At 46.9% G+C, this 16,982-nt stretch overlaps 1 protein-coding gene and 3 pseudogenes across 10 annotated transcripts in view; 1 reads left to right on the top strand and 3 right to left on the bottom strand.

The window, feature by feature from the left end:
* FAM186B (family with sequence similarity 186 member B) overlaps window positions 1–16,982 on the top strand; it is a 39,886-nt gene that overhangs the window by 19,844 nt on the left and 3,060 nt on the right. For 4 of the 10 annotated variants that reach the window (XM_047429639.1, XM_047429640.1, NM_032130.3 and 1 more), the window contains exons 4-7: window positions 1,781–3,446; window positions 3,968–4,160; window positions 14,292–14,461; window positions 15,163–15,410. In XM_047429639.1, coding sequence (XP_047285595.1) covers window positions 1,781–3,446; window positions 3,968–4,160; window positions 14,292–14,461; window positions 15,163–15,310 — 2,177 coding nt within the window. In that variant the 3' untranslated portion in view covers window positions 15,311–15,410. Of the gene's footprint in view, window positions 1–1,780; window positions 3,447–3,967; window positions 4,161–14,291; window positions 14,462–15,162; window positions 15,411–16,982 lie in introns of those variants that run through there. The other 6 variants (NR_027450.2, XM_006719626.3, XM_006719627.4 and 3 more) reach the window with 3 other exon arrangements.
* On the bottom strand, window positions 7,218–7,766 carry PARK7P1 (PARK7 pseudogene 1; annotated as a pseudogene).
* POLR2KP1 (RNA polymerase II subunit K pseudogene 1) lies at window positions 8,457–8,835 on the bottom strand (annotated as a pseudogene).
* Window positions 9,702–9,811, bottom strand: RNU6-834P (RNA, U6 small nuclear 834, pseudogene; annotated as a pseudogene).

The raw sequence follows: 16,982 nt of genomic DNA, 5'->3' as shown, positions 1-16,982 counted from the left end.
GAACAAAGCTGGGAGGCCAGGAGGGCTAGAGTTAGCAGCTAGAACCTGCGGGCCATCCTATTCTCACTCCAAACCCAGCAACAGAGCTAGGAAGGTTGGGGAGGCTCAGCTAGAGGCTGCTGCAGAGGTGGTCCATCAGCAAATAGCTGAACCTTGGCTTTTTACTCCCATCAACATTAGGAGAACCTGATATTATCGAACTCATACATTTTGTAGATGAGAACATTGAAGCTCAGAGAAGAGAAGGGAGCACAAGGAAAGGCTGTGGCCCCACACATAGGTTTTCTGGCTTCTTAATCTCACTCAAGAGTTTGAATTGCATCTCTGTCAATTTCTGGTTGTATCACTTTGGGCAAGGACTTCATCTCTCTGAGCCTCAGTTTCCTCATATATAAACAGAAGAGGATACTGCCTAGCTCCAGGTTTGTGGGGAGGCTTCCACACAGTGTGAGGTGTCTGACACCATGCTTGGAACATGCTCAGGGCTTAATTAACAATAGTTAACCATCAGCATTTACCATTGTTCCTCATGGCCAGCCTCATTATCAATCAAGTAAGGTCAGCAGGAGGGAGAAGGCAGGGAAAAGTGGATAAGGAAACAATCTCTTCTGCAATCTGTACCGTACTATGTCTTCAAATACACTTATTGTATACTTAGACCCTCGCTAGATTATAAACTTATGAATGGTAAAGACTGTGTCTTTAGTTCTTTCTTTTTAGGGATGATTTATTGAGCACTTACTAGGTACCTGTTACTGCACTTGGCACTAAACATGCATAATCTAAGTCCTATGACATAGATTCTATGATTATCCCCATTTTTCACATTGGGAAACTGAGACACTGAGAAGTTAGGAAAATTGCCCAAGGCAAATCAGAAAGATGGGATTCAAACCCAAGTTATCTTATTGCAGAATCTAAACTCTGGACCACTAGGCCACATGGCCTCTCTGACAATACTAGCTAGATGCTAGCCCAACTTCAGTATCCCTTAATTTTTATATTTCCTCTACCCCTCATCTGAAGTTAGCATTGTTTTTTCCACCAGTGATGTTTTTAAATAGGCAGATGAATGGATGCTCCAAGATAATCACTCCACCAGCTCTATACATAGTAGGTCCAAGGGGGTACAATGACCACCGTGACCCAGCCTTTGAAAAATTGAGATCTGCTAATGGCAGGCACAATCTGTGTGTAGTGCATTTTCCTGGGGAGAGAGGGTCTGCTGCTTTCCTCAGAGTATCAAAGGGATCCCCCAAATGGAAAAAGACATTAGTTATTAAAAAAAAAAAACATAAAACATGTGAACAGTTGGAGGACCATGTGATAAATTCTCCATAAGCAGAGTCCAGTGCTAATGGGAAAGGGAAACCAGGCTTCCTAGTTGGGTGTAAGGGGTTTGAGTAGCTGACAATAGGAGGCAAACACAGATACTGAGGCTGGGAAGTGGCATGATTAGAAAAATAACTCTACCCCAGGAGAACATGGAAGACCAGGAGGATGCTGCAGTGAGCTGTGCTGGATTGCCTATGCCAGGCCCTTCTGGTCTCTGCAGGTGCTGTGGAGCTGGCAGACCCTGAGGCTGGGCTCTGGGCAAGCTCTGCACTCAGCAGAGGTCTGTCCTGACAGCACTGTCCCTGGCCCCATATACAGCCCCAGCTCCCTACTCTCGCCAAATCCCTAAGGGGGTTGCCATTTTGGCCCTGCAGGGTTTGGAGAATCAATGCAATCCTTGGGACCCATGAGAAATCGTTGACTTTTTTCTCTCTACCTGTCCCAGTGTCCAAACGCACCTTCTGGCAGGGCTGGCAGGGAAGAAGCCCACAGACATCTCCATCCCATCCTCAGCCACTAAGCCCAGAACAGATGCTCCAGGACCAGCATACCATGAACACGAAGGCCTCGGAGGTGACGTCCATGCTGCAGGAGCTCCTGGACTCTACCATGTTCAGCAAGGGGGAGGTCAGGGCCATCAGGTACATGGCCACTGTGGTGGAGAACCTCAACAAGGCCTTGATCCTCCAACACAAGGAGAACAGGAGCCTGGAGACCAAATACAGGCACCTGCAAATGCAGGCGACCAAAGAGCTCAGCAGCCAGAGGCTGCACTTCCAGCAGTTCATGGAGGTCCTTGAGAGCAGGAGGGATGCTCTGCTGAAGCAGGTAGAGATCTTAGGGGGAAGGTACCATGACCTTCTCCTGATGAAGCAGGCCTTGGAGTTCCAGCTGAAGAAGGCTCAGAATGCTACAGGTCAGGCAGAAGACCTGGCTGAGGTTTCTGTTGACTCCCCAGGTCCCTCTGAGAGAGAGACCCTCCCAAGGAAAGAAACAGTCATGGAGGAAAGCCAACAGGAACCGATGAAGGAGGAGCAGTTGTTCTCGCCACTTCCCCCAAGTCCCATGGCCATGATACGGGACAGTGGTGCTATAGCTGCAGGGCACCAGCCACTTTCCACCATGACTGTGCGCTCGAGGGTCGCAGATGTGTTCGGCAGCAAGGACACTGAGAGCCTTGAGCCTGTGCTTTTACCCTTAGTAGATCGCAGGTTTCCTAAGAAATGGGAAAGACCGGTGGCAGAAAGCTTAGGCCACAAAGACAAAGACCAGGAGGACTACTTCCAGAAGGGAGGACTCCAAATTAAGTTCCACTGTAGCAAGCAGCTGTCTCTAGAGAGCTCCAGGCAGGTGACCTCTGAGAGCCAAGAGGAGCCCTGGGAGGAGGAATTCGGCCGGGAGATGCGGAGGCAGCTGTGGCTGGAGGAGGAGGAGATGTGGCAGCAGCGGCAGAAGAAGTGGGCCCTGCTGGAGCAGGAGCATCAGGAGAAGCTGCGGCAGTGGAATCTGGAAGACCTGGCCAGGGAGCAACAGCGGAGATGGGTCCAGCTAGAAAAGGAGCAGGAGAGCCCACGGAGAGAGCCAGAGCAGCTAGGGGAGGATGTGGAGAGGAGGATCTTCACACCCACCAGTCGATGGAGGGACTTGGAGAAGGCAGAGCTATCATTAGTGCCTGCCCCAAGCCGGACCCAATCTGCTCACCAAAGCAGGAGGCCACACTTGCCCATGTCTCCTAGTACCCAGCAGCCTGCCCTGGGAAAGCAGAGACCTATGAGTTCAGTGGAGTTTACCTACAGACCACGGACCCGCCGAGTTCCCACAAAGCCCAAGAAATCTGCCTCCTTTCCTGTCACTGGGACATCCATCCGAAGGCTGACCTGGCCCTCTTTGCAGATATCCCCTGCAAATATTAAGAAGAAGGTGTACCACATGGACATGGAGGCCCAGAGGAAGAACCTGCAGCTCCTGAGTGAGGAGTCTGAGTTGAGGCTGCCCCACTACCTGCGCAGCAAAGCACTGGAGCTCACCACCACCACCATGGAGCTGGGCGCGCTCAGGCTGCAGTACCTGTGCCATAAGTACATCTTCTATAGACGCCTCCAGAGCCTCCGGTAGGTCCTCCCTGGAACCCACCTGGCACCCACCTGCTGCAATATGTTGGCAGAGCCTAAACCCAGTGGGAGAGAAGGAACACAGGGCAAGGGGGGATGGGGAGAGCCACCCCAGGCCTGGACAGGGTCTCCTGAGTGGGGGCCTGGAAAGCAAGTCTGGCCTGGGGCCTTGGGCAACCCTTGAAGATGTGAGAAGAAGGGCACTGAGCACTGCTCTCCCTGTAGTGGGCTTTTCCTCTAAGCAACTTCCCTCTCTCTTCCTCTCTTCCCATGGCCCTGTCTATAATCCACCTAATGTGCTCCCCTGTCTTTCCTTTCTCTTTCTGTTTCATCCCAGCCCTGAGGCTCCTCACTTCATACCACCTCCCACTTTTCTCTGCCCCATTTTCCCCAGCTCTCACCAGCCTCCATTTCTCTTTTTGCTCTAAGGAATTAAAGAAAACAAAGTCATCTCTGGTTAACAGACTTGGGGGATAGAGGAGGCCTCTCCACCCCCTAAATTGCTTCTCCTCTTTTCCCAGGCAAGAAGCGATCAACCATGTACAAATCATGAAAGAAACGGAGGCTTCCTACAAGGCCCAGAACCTCTACATCTTCCTGGAAAACATTGACCGCCTGCAGAGTCTCAGGCTGCAGGCCTGGACGGACAAGCAGAAGGGGCTGGAGGAGAAGCACCGAGAGTGCCTGAGCAGCATGGTGACCATGTTCCCCAAGGTGGGCCTCCCGCCCTGACCCCCCCGCCACTCCGCCTCCTGGGGTCAGCACAGCCAGTCGGCTTGGGGCCTGAAATGAACCCGTGGGGATGTGGCTGAGACTGCGGGACCAGGGGCAGAAGGGAAAGGAGAAGGCAGGATAAAGCCTCTGCACCAGGGAGAGGTGAAGGCAGGTGGTGGCCTGAGCATGGGGGTGGGCAGCTTTCCAATCTGTTTCTGGGGAGAGCAACCCAGAGAGAGAGAGATGTCTCTTCAAAAAGATCTGTGGAAGAGAAGAGTTCTTCTGGAGAAGAGGAGGCAGCTGGATCCTGCAGTCCTGGCTCTGGGCTGTGATTCTCCCTCCCCTGTGGTTCTCCGTGCCTTGCTCCTGTCAGTCTGGTGGCTCTCCAGGCTTGGTGCACAGCCGTCATCTTCACTGTCTCACAGGGACTTGCTTTGCTTCTCCCTGAATCAGCTCCTTGGCTTTCTAGATTCCAGGTCTCTTCTTCCTTTGTTCACTTCCTTGTTTTAGTAGAGTCCCTCCTCCACTCACTTTCTGACAACGATTGCATGGGAGGTTAAGTCACTGAGACCCTGGTTGTCTGAAAATGTCTTTACTTAATATCTATCCTCACTCTTAATTGACTGTTTGCTTGGATGTGGAAGTCTAGCTTAGAATCCATTTTCCCTCATAATCCCTCAAAATGTGTTTGCTTTGAGACAGAGTCTCGCTCTTTTGCCCAGGCTGGAGTGCGGTGGCACAATCTTGGCTCACTACAACCTCCACCTCCCAGGTTCAAGCTATTCTCCTGCCTCAGTCTCCCGAGTAGCTGGGATTATAGGTACCCACCACCACACCTGGATAATTTTTGCATTTTTAGTAGAGACGGGGTTTCACCATGTTGGCCAGGCTGGTCTTGAACACCTGACCTCAAGTGATCCACCTGCCTTGGCTTCCCAAAGTGCTGGGATTACAGGCATGAGCCACCACACCCGGCCACAATTTTTATTATTTATTATTTATTTAAAATGTTTTATTGTATATATTTAAGGTTTATAACATGACATTATAAGATACATATATAGTAAAATGGTTACCATAGTAAAACAAATTAACATATCCATCATCTCACATAGTTGCCATTTTTCTCTCTCCTCTGGCAAGGGCAGTAGTAATCTACTCATTTGGCAAAAATCCTGAACACAATACACTATTAACTATAATCCAACACATAGAGCTTTCAGTTTCTTAGTCCTATGTATTTGCTACTGTGTATCCTTTGGTCTATGTCACCCCATTTCCTCCCACCCCCACCCCAATTCTGGTAACCACTGTTTTATTTTCTGTCTCCTCAATTCGGCCTTTTGTTTTTTTTAGATTTCACATATAAGTGAGATCATGCGATATTTTTCCATCTATGCATGGCATATTTCACTTAGCATAATGTCCTCCGGGGCCAACCATATTGTGGCAAATGGCAGGATCTCCTTTTTTAAGGCTGAATAATATTCCACTGTATATACAGTTATGCATCACTTAATGATGGGGTTGTTATGGGAAATGTGTTGTTAAGCAATTTTTTGTTGTGTGAACATTACAGGGTATACTTCCACAAACCTAGATGGGATAGCCTGCTACACACCTAGACTATATGGTGTAACCTATTGCTGCTAGGCTGCAAATCTGTGCAGCATGTGACTATTCTGAATACTCTAGGCAGTCAGAACACAATGGTGAATATTTGTGTTATCTAAACATAGAAAAAGTACAGTAAAGATATGGTATTATAATCTTATGAGACCACGGTCATATATGTGGTCCATCATTTACTGAAATGTTGTTATGCAGTGCACGACTGTATATACCAGAGTTTCTTTCATTGGTCCACTGATGGGCACCTCGGTTGTTTCCATATCTTGGCTACTGTGAGTAATACTGCAATGGACATGGGAGTCCAGATATCTTTTCAAGGTGGCGATTCTGTTCCTTTGGGTATATACCCAGAAGAGAATCCCTGGGTCATAGTAATTTCATTTTTAATTTTTTTAGGAGCCTCCATACTGTTTTCCACAATGGCTGTACTAATCTACCTTCCTATGAATAGTGCACAGGGTTCCCTTTTCTTCACACCCTTGCCATGACCTTGCTATCGCCTGTCTTTTTGATAATAGTTCTTCTAGCAGTGTGAGGTGATAGCTCATTGTGGTTTTGATTTGCATTTCCCTGATGATTAATGATGCTGAGCACCTTTTCATATACTTGTTGGCCATTTTTATGTCTTTTTTTTTTTAAAGACATCAAGTTTATTAGAGCAACAGTGTGCAACAGAATGGCTGCTCCACAGACAGAGCAGGGCTGTCCCATAGGCAGAGTGGCCCAGAGTACCTATGTCTTTTTTGGATAAATGTCAGTTGAGGTCCTTTGCCCCTGCTTTTTTTTTTTTTTTTTTTTTGAGACGGGGGTCTCACTATATTGCCGAGGCTAGTCTTGAACTCCTGCTCTGCCTATTTTATTATTTTTAGTTTGCTAAATGCCTTGTTTATTCTGCAAACAAGGCTTATTAAAAAAAAGAAATGTACAGACACACTTTGTAGGTTGAGAAATCTCTGTGTAGTTGTGACTTCACAACTATACTTCGGCAAAAGCAGTAATGACGGTGGCTTCTGAACACATTAATCTACCATTGTTTTGTCTAGAGCGAACACAGTGAGAATGGATTCCTAATGGCCTGTTTCTCTAAGTGATCGTCACATTTCGCTGCTCTAGTCTTATTTTTATTTATTTATTTTTTTGAGACGGAGTCTCGCTCTGTCGCCCAGGCTGGAGTGCAGTGGCGCCATCTCGGCTCACTGCAAGCTCCGCCTCCCAGGTTCACGCCATTTTCTGCCTCAGCCTCCCGAGTAGCTGGGACTATGGGCACCCACCGCCACGCCCGGGTAATTTTGTTGTATTTTTTAGTGGAGACGGGTTTTCACTGTGTTAGCCAGGATGGTCTCCATCTCCTGACCTCGTGATCCGCCTGCCTCAGCCTCCCAAAATGCTGGGATTACAGGCGTGAACCACCGCGCCCAGCCACTTGCTGCTCTAGTCTTTAAGAACTAGTGGAGCCTTCACTTGAGCTGCCATCTCCTTGCTGCTCAGGGCTTCAACAATTGTAATCACAAACTCAAAGCTGGTCCTAGGCCCTGGGCTTATAAGAATTTCAGGCCGTCCTTTTCCACACGATTCTCAGAGTAGGTGTAATGGCTTCCATTCATCATTTTGTCCTTAGCAAGCGGGAGTGTTGTAACTTTACTTCCAAAACTGATCTCATGAGCCATCAGAGCAGTAGGACCTGCACAGATAGTGGCTATAAGGCCCTTCTGGTTTTCCTGCTCCTTTAGTATCTCCTTCACAGAAGCAGACTCAGGTAAATTCTGTGCACCCAGATTACCTCCTGGTAGAACTACTATGTCATATGGTCCCTCTTTTTTTGCATCTTCAAGACTGGCATCAGGACAAATGAAAACATCAAGGCTACACTGTACTGGGTCTTTTCCAGCCAGACCTGCAATGGTGACCTTAATCCCAGCTTGCCTCATGACATCTACAGGATGACCGTCTCCATTTCCTCTGCTCCTTTAGCCAAAAACTCAAAATAATAATTTAAAACTCAGGTTATATGTTTTCATGCTATTGTAGAACTATTTTATACTAAGACTTTAATTTATACAACGTGAATTTTCCTAACAATAATGTGAGCATATTTTCATGTGCTTATTTGTCATCCATTTATCTCCTTTGGCAAAGCATATTATTGGGTTGTAAAAATTCATCCCATATTCTGGATGCAAGTTCTATACCAGATCTGTATTTCGTGGATATTATCTTTCAGTCTGCGGCATTCCTTTTTTTTTTTTTTGAGACAGAGTCTTGCTCTGTTGCCCAGGCTGGAGTGCAGTTGTGCTATCTTGGCTCACTGCAACCTCCACCTCCCGGGTTCAGGCGATTCTCTTGCCTCAGCCTCCCAAGTATCTGGGATTACAGGCATGCGCCACCATGCCCAGCTAATTTTTGTATTTTTAGTAGAGATGGGTTTTCACCATGTTGGCCAGGCTGGTCTCAAACTCCTGACCTCTGGTGATCCACCCACCTTGGCCTCCCAAAATGTTGGGATTACAGGCGTGAGCCACCACACCCGGCCTGTGTAAGATATTTTGAGAGCAAGAGACCAACCACATTCACGTAACTTTTATTATAGTATATTGTTAAAATTGTTCTATTTTGTTATTGTTATTAATCTCTTACTCTGCCTAATTTAAAAATTAAACTTTATCATAGTTAAGTATATACAGGAAAAACAGTGTATAAAGGGTTTGGTACTGAGGTTTCAGGCGTCCACTGGGGTTCTTGAAATGTATCCCCCAAGGATAAGGGGGATCTACTATATGCAAAACCGAAAGCTATACAACAATGAGAAACATTAAGAGGGAAATTCAGGTGTAAGTGAAGACATTCCTCTGAATTCCCAGGTTTCACTGAGCATCAAAACCCACCAATCTTTCAGTCCTTTTCTTGAATATTATTCTGTATACACATTCTCTGCATCTGATTGGATCCCTGGATTTTATTTCATTTTCTGCATGACATCCTCCACAGATATATATCATTGGCTGCTGCCTTGGGGGTTGAATGTCCTGGGTGTCATTGTGAGCCCCTTTTTACTCTGAGTGTCTTTCTAGTTTTGGCCCAAGTACCCACCACAAACTCCAACCCACCAATTCCCTACCTACCCAGCACTGAGAAATGGCATCTTAATAATATTTATTCTTTCAATTCATGAGCATGCTGTATATCTCCAGTTATGTCTATTTATTTCAGTTTTATAGGTTTATTATTCAAATACTCTGAAGCTCTGTAATTAGGTGCATACACATTTAAGATTGCTTATGTACTCTTGAAAATTTGACCTTTACTATTTATTTTTATAGAGATGAAGTTTCACTATGTTGTCCAGGCTGGTCTCCAAATCTTGCCCTTAAGCGATCCTGCCACCTTGACCTCCCAAAGTATTGGGATTACAGCATGAATCACCTTACCTGGCCCAAAATTTGGACTTTTATCCTTATGAAATGGCCCTCTTTCTTTTCTTTTTTTTTTTTTTGAGATGGAGTCTTGCTGTCACCCAGGCAATGCAGTGGCACCATCTTGGTTGGCTCACTGCAAACTCCACCTCTCAGGTTCAAGTGATTCTTGTGCCTCAGCCTCCCGAGTAGCTGGGATTACAAATGCCTGCCACCACACCTGGCTAATTTTTGTATTTTTAGTAGAGACGGGGTTCGCCATGTTGGCCAGGCTGGTCTCCAATTCTCAACCTCAGGGGATCCGCCCACCTGGGCCTCCCAAAGTGCTGGGATTACAGGCATGAGCCACCCACACCCGGCCGTTTGTTTCTAATTATATTCCTTGCTCTTCAGTGTACATCAGTATTGATATAGTCACTGCAGCTTTTTAAATATTTTTTACTATTTGCATGGTATACCTTCTTCCACTCTTTCACTGTTAACCTCTGTGTCTATATATTATTTACTGGAACACTTCATGAATTTGTGTGTCATCCTTGCACAGAGGCCATGCTAGTAGTCTTCTCTGTATTATTCCAACTTTAGTATATGTGCTACCGAAGTGAGCACTGTGTCTCTATATTTAAATTGGGTTTTTAATTGATACCTTATAGTTGGGTCTTGCTTTTTTATGCAATCTGTCAATCTCTGCCTTTTATTTGGTGGTTTTAGGCTATTTATATTTGATGTGATTATCAACGCAGTTGAGTTTAAATATATAATTTGCTCTTCATTTCTATTTGTCTAATCTGTTCTTTGTTTTTTTCCCTCTTTTCCTGCCTTCTTGTGGAGTAACTGAGCTTTTCAAGTAAATTCATCTTATCTCCACTCCTGACATATTACATATTAGCCATACCTCTTTGTTTTGTTATTTTTTATTTTTATTTTTTGAGAGAGTCTTTCTCTCTCTCCTAAGCTGGAGTGTGGTGGTGCGATCTCAGCTCACCATAACCTCCGCCTCCTGGATTCAAGCGATTCTCATGCCTCAGCCTCCTGAGTAGCTGGGATTACAGGCACCCGCCACCATGTCCGGCTAATTTTTTTGTATTTTTAGTAGAGACACGGTTTTGCCATGTTGGCCAGGCTGGTCTCGAACTCCTGGCCTCATGTGATCCACCCGCCTCAGCCTCCCAAGGTGCTGGGATTACAGGCTTGAGCCACCATGCCCAGCCTGTTTTGTTATTTTATTATTATTATTTTTTGAGACAGAGTCTCACTCTGTTGCCCAGGCTAGAGTGCAGTGGCATGATCTCGGCTCACTGCAACCTCCAACTCCCAGGTTCAAGAGATTCTCCTGCCTCAGCCACCTGAGTAGCTGAGATTATAGGTGCACACCACCACGCCCAGCTAATTTTTGTATTTTTAGTAGAGACTGGGTTTCACCATGTTGGTCAGGCTGGTCTCGAACTCCTGATCATGTGCTCTGCCCACCTCGGCCTCCCAAAGTGCTGGGATTACAGGCGTGAGCCACTGCACTCTAGGGTTTACAATATAAATCTTTAACTTATCATAGTCTACTTTCAAATAATATTATTTCATGTGTAAGAACCTTACAATAGTATACATCTATTTCTTCCCTCCCGGCCTTTGTCCTACTGTTGTCATACATTTTGTCTCTATGTAACTTATAAATCCCCTAATGCAGTTGGCCCTCTGTATCTATGGGTTCTGCATCTGTGGATTCAATCAACCACAGATCAAAAATATTCGGAGAAAAAAATAGATGGTTGTGTCTGTGCTGAACATGAACAGACTTTTTTTTCTTGTTATTCCCTAAACAGTATAACAACTACTTAGATAGTGTTTATATTATATTAGGTATTATAAGTAATCTAGAGACCATTTAATATATACAGGAGGATGTGGGTGGGTGATATGCAAACACTGCACCATTTTATATAAGCATGTGAGCATCCACAAATTTTGGTGCCTGTGAGGAGTCCTGGAGCCAATACCCCACGGATAGCAAGGGACAACTGTACATTGTTATTACTTTTCCCTTAAGCAAAGGGAAAAGAATAATCTATTTACCCCCACACTTAACATTTCCAGTGCTCCTTACTCTTTTGTGTAGATCCAAATGTATTTTGGGTATCATTTTCCTTCTGCCTGAAGGATTCCTTTAACATTTCTCACACTGCTTATCTGCTGGTGATGAATCCTCTCAGCTTTGGTGTCTGAAAAGGTTTATTCAGCTTTCAGTTTTGAAAGATGTTTTTGCTGGATGTAGAATTCTAGGTGGGCAGCTTTTTCTTTCGGTATTTTACAGATGTAAACACAAACTCTTCCCAGGGATATATGAGCTCTGAGGATGGTTCTGCCTGTTCTTGCCCAGTGATTCTTCCCCCAGCCTTGGTGGTTTCCTCCCAGGCCTGCACAGAGACTTAACGGGACCCCTCTGCAGAGCTTTGGAGATTCCTTGCCATGTGGCTTCCTCCTCTCTGGTACTCTGGTTTTCAAATTCTAGTCACCTTGGCTTCCCTGATACCCAGATGCTGTCTCCTCATCTCAGCAAGGCTGCTGGCTTCTGTTTGGGTTCCCTGCCCTGTGCTGGGGCCTGGACATTGTCTCATTTGTTTCATTCCTTTTGGGGATCATTGACCTGCACTGCCTGTTGTCTGAATGGGTATACATCATTTTTTCATCTATTCTGTTTGGCCTACTAGTTGTTTACAGGAGAATAGTAAACTAGTCCTTGTTATTCCATTATCACTAGTTTATCTCCTCAAAAAAAATCCTATACTATTAAGATTCATTTTAAATGTTAAAAGTTCCAAGAATTCCTATATACTAGTAGTTTTACTTTTTATTTATTCAATTTTTGTACAATTTTAAGTATGTACTTACATTCTTGGGCTCTTGGCAAAAAATCCATTGCCCCTCAGGGGACCATGCCCTATGGGTTAGGAACCATATGGGTTTAGGCCAACAGAATGAGAAGGTATCACTCACTCTCTTAATCTCTACACTTGGAGCCTATCCTCATCTTTTCCATGTCCTTACTGAGACCTCGTGTTTTTCCTCTGAAAACTAACACTAGCAGAAACCTTACTCTTTCACCCCCTCCCCACCACCCCACTTTACCTTGGCAGAATTCAGTAAAGTAACCATCCAAAATGTATAGACCTGGTTTTAACATTCATACATCAAGTACAACCCAAATAAATCCCAAGATGTTATGTGATCTGGTTATGCCATTGTATCCATTATATCCCATTCAGAGATATAATGCTCACTCACCTGCCAAAAATAATAAAAAAGTAACCCCAATCTTTAATTGGGTCACTCATAATCACTAAAGTGGGTCCAACTTATAATTCACAATCATGAGATTTTCTTATTTTTTCCTCTCCTCTGCCATTCTCTCATATCCAGAAAACCTCTTTAAACTCCAAAACAGTCTTTGACACCCAAACTTCCTTTTCTCTTTGTTTAGATAAATGATTACTAATCTATGGGCCATACACCACTGAGGGATAATGGATCCATGTGTATACCACTAATTGTCTATATACTGAATTACTAAAAAAAAACTTATATTGGAATCCTTGAAACTTCTGACATTTAAAATAAATGCAAAATAGTATACAATTAAAAAAAAAAGGCCAAAGAGATAACAGCTGAAACTTGGGAATAATGGAATAAAAGACTCCTATATTCTCCTCTTTTGACTTTTTTTTTTTTTTTTTTTTTTTGGAGACAGAGTCTCGCTATTGCCAGGCTGGAGTGCAGTGGTGCGATCTCGGCTCACTGCAACTTCTGCCTCCTGCGTTCAAGCAATTTTCCTGCCTCAGCCTTCCGAGTAGCTGGGACTACAGATGCACGCCACCACACCCAGCTAATTTTTGTATTTTTAGTAGAGACGGGGTTTCACCATGTTGGCCAGGATGGTCTCAATCTCTTGACCTCATGATCTGCCTGACTTGGCTTCCTAAAGTGCTGGGATTACAGGCATGAGCCACCGCGCCCAGCCTTGATTCTTTATTATAGATATATAGATATAGATTTAACTTCTTTGTCTTTTTTTTTTCACTGATGTTTTGCCCGTTTCTAGATTCTCTACAACAGATGTAAAACAGGAACCCAGCAAATTAGAATTCATACCCTTTGGGACGATTAATAATTTTGTCCCCATTATACAAGTATTGAGTTTATATCCATATCCATCTTTCATATGGCAGGAATAGCTCTCTGCACCACCCATGAGTATGGGATCTTTCCCTGCCAGACTCCTTCATTTGCAACACTGGCTTTGGGATGAGCAGCCCTCAGCTCAAGACCTGAGGCTCAGGCTGCCAGGAGCAGAAAAGCAGCAAGTGCCGACGTGGTCCCTAGGGGCAGCTTGGAGGGATTGGAGGAGCCCAAAGTTGTGAGTCAGAGCCTGCTGGGACCTGCCCTAGGGTTGGGTCAGGAGGTACCACCTGCCCCCGAGTCTTGAGTGGCAGTGGCCTGAGTCTAGGGGAGGCAGCATGCTGAGGCATTGGTGTGAGGGCTGGCATCAGGCAGCCAGAAGAGCCTTGGCCATGGAGGTTTCATATCACCTTATACCAGTCCAGATAATCTCCTAGAGGCATCTTGACTGGCTGTTTGTTTGGGGATTGAGAATGAAAGGGATATGACAATTCTTTGAGTGGCTGTGAAGGTTCCCCCAGCTCCTCACCCAGTGCCAGGGCTGGGGCTGGACGAAAAGATACCCAGTGCAGTCCAGGCACAACCTGGCCCCCTGCCATGAACCCTGCCTGGAGCTGCTCTCATGGGTTCCAGCTGCTCTGGTTTCATTTTCTTCCTTGCTGTTTTGCCCATTATCCAGCTTCCTCACAACAAAGGAGAAAACAGGAACTAACACAGCAAAAAAGAGTTCAAGGAGTTTCCAGCAAAGGTCTGATACCTTGTGGTCCCAGGGTTTCTAATTGAAGGGATTCCCTGGGCCTTACCCTCTCCACTCAGCCCTGAGTCCAGCAGGGGCACCAACAAACAGACAAAGCCTCCTCACGACCTAGAGAGGAGATAACTTCCTGTTTCCCTGATGCCTCTCTGCTGGTTCCTCTAGCTCCAGCTGGAGTGGAACGTTCACCTGAACATCCCTGAGGTCACCTCGCCAAAGCCAAAGAAATGCAAGTTGCCTGCAGCCTCACCCCGGCACATCCGCCCCAGTGGCCCCACCTACAAGCAGCCCTTTCTGTCTAGGCACCGGGCATGTGTGCCCCTGCAGATGGCCCGGTAGGTTCTGGGAAGCTGAGGGGGCAGCAGCTGTATGGGTGAAGAGGCAGGGAGCAGGGGTGACCAGCCTGGGGAGGTGGGCAGTGAAGTGAGGGCACCAACAGGCCAATATCACCCTACGAGTTGCAAAGTGCCTGTCTTCTCAGCTGCCCTCCCCAGTGCTGGCCACTGACCCACAGGTGGGGTGTATGTCATAGTGTGTGGGCTTCAGGGACTAGCCTGACCAGTGCATTTCAAACTATGCGACGGAAAGACTCTGAGGACCCACACCTGAAAACTTATAACCTTTCTACCCTGAGCATCGATTTGGCATCTGCCGTTGGTCTGTCCTATAAACAAGCCTGAACCTCCCCACCATGTGACCTGCAGGCTCTGGAGACACTGTGAACCTCTGGGGCGCTAAAAGGACCCTGGTCCACACCTACCCTTGCATGGCCTAGATCAGGGCTTCTGCCCCAGGGCCTGTTCCTTGAAGGACAGGGGCCGCCCTGGGAACCTCTTCCAGCAGCTCCTCAGCCAGAGGAGCCCCAAGGAAGTGAGATTCAGACTCAGTGTTGGAGGGGAGATGAGGAGGGCAGTGACACACTCGATTTGAGAAGGGAAGGAGACAAAGCTCACTTGGGCCTGATGGCTCTGGAGAGTCTCTTGCATCTCAATCTCTCTCTGTTGCTTTTCACATTCTCCAAACTCCCCACTCCCAGCCAACAGGGGAAGCAGATGGAGGCTGTCTGGAAGACCGAGGTGGCCTCCTCCAGTTACGCAATAGAAAAAAAGACCCCTGCCAGCCTTCCCCGGGACCAGCTGAGGGGACACCCAGATATTCCCCGGCTGTTGACACTGGACGTGTAGTCCTCCTGCCACAAAAGCCTGAACTTCCTGAAGGCCCAGTAAGGTGCGAGGCTGATGGTCAATGTGGATTCTCCCCAATAAATCTCTCTCCAGGCTTTAACAATGACCTCATTTGCTATCCCACACCAGATAGAGAGAGGCTAACCTGGTTCCTTTGCTCGGCGGCTGTAAGCGGGGTCCCCATGCCAACAGCACTTCGGTTCTGGTGAAGGGTTTCCTTAGTGTCTCAGAGGCCACCAGGGGGCTTTTCCTTCACACTGGCCTCCTGGGCTGCACATAAATTCTGAAGAGCCCCATCTCACCCTAGCCTTGGGGGTGGTTCTCAGGGGAGCCAGGTGTAGGGAGGGAGAGATGAGGGAGCCCTTGGACTGCCTGAGAAACCTGAGCCTTGGGCCTGGGCCTGTCACTTCCTTTCCTTACTATCTTCAAGAACGGTCCCTAGAAAGAACAGCTGAGGGGACAGAGGTGGGACTCCAGGGGCCAACAAGAGGCTTTTCTGGTTAGAAGTCTTAGCTCTCCTTTGCCTCTCTGGGCTTGTAGATGTCACTACTGGAGGCTCAAGGCTCTTTTAAGGACCCTCTCTACATGAGCAATCCCATCTGCCTCCTGTGACCCTGGCCCTGTGTCAGTTACAGATCCCCAATGGGGAGAGGGTCCTGATGCCTCCAGTCTAGACCTAACCAGAGCCAAGAGCCTGAAGATACTGGTGCTTCTCCCATCCTCCAACTGGAGACCTCAGTGAGACAGGGAGGCATAGCAGCATCAAAGAGGGCGAATCCCTGGCCGCACCTGCGCTCTGAAATGGGCCAGCATTCCAGCTGAGAGTCCTATCATTCCAGCCCACCCAGTGCAGAAACCTGGTTTCCAATTCCTGGAGGGTTTCCAAGGGGGATGTGCATGTGTGTTGCTGTTGGTTGTTGATTTAGATACAGCGAACAGAATGGAGAATAACCAAAACAACACTGTGGGAGAACACTGTAACCCAGTGGTCAACTGGGGCCTGGCCTGGCAGAGATTTGGTTAAACTTACCCAAAGACCTCCCCATCGTGGGGTCTCTCCTCTCCGCATCCCTTCCCTGCCTGGGATCTGCCCAGCTTCTGAGTCTCGGGCAAGCCCCTTTGTTCTTTCCACACACGGAGATATGTGCATATAAATATCAGGGGTATGCACCCCACTTGAGCCCATACACTCATGACGTCAGTAACTTTCTGAAAATATAGAGGGATAGTGAGAAACGGGATTCATTTTGAACAGCACCAAGCAGCAGCCTCCTTTCTTCCCTCTTTCCCCGCCTCTCTGGTAAAACATGCACAATTCTAAAATTCCTTCATGTCTCAAGCAGAGCTGTTCCACCCACACCCAGGCCTCCACTGGGATCCCAGTTTCAGGCTTAAGGCACTTATCAAAATATTGTTCCCAGCAAAGACAGCTTCCCCTTTCTAAGGGAACTTAGATGAAGACAATTTTCTTCCTGCTTTCAACCCTGTACCTGTTTACTGCGTTGATCTCACCACCAGGTGCAGAGGCAGAGCCTGCTGTGCTGTCTTCTTTACCCACATCCCAGGCTGCCACCACCTCCCTGCGTGTCAGGCTGCTCCTGATGTCTCAGTGTGGGGGCTCCCTGCATTGTCTTGGGGTCCGCTATTTTGGCATGAGGATCTGCTGGTCTCT

This window comes from Homo sapiens, chromosome 12, assembly GCF_000001405.40.
Source record: "Homo sapiens chromosome 12, GRCh38.p14 Primary Assembly".
In the NCBI taxonomy this organism is placed as follows: Eukaryota; Metazoa; Chordata; class Mammalia; order Primates; family Hominidae; genus Homo; species Homo sapiens.
This window is presented reverse-complemented; position numbering and strand designations above follow the sequence as displayed.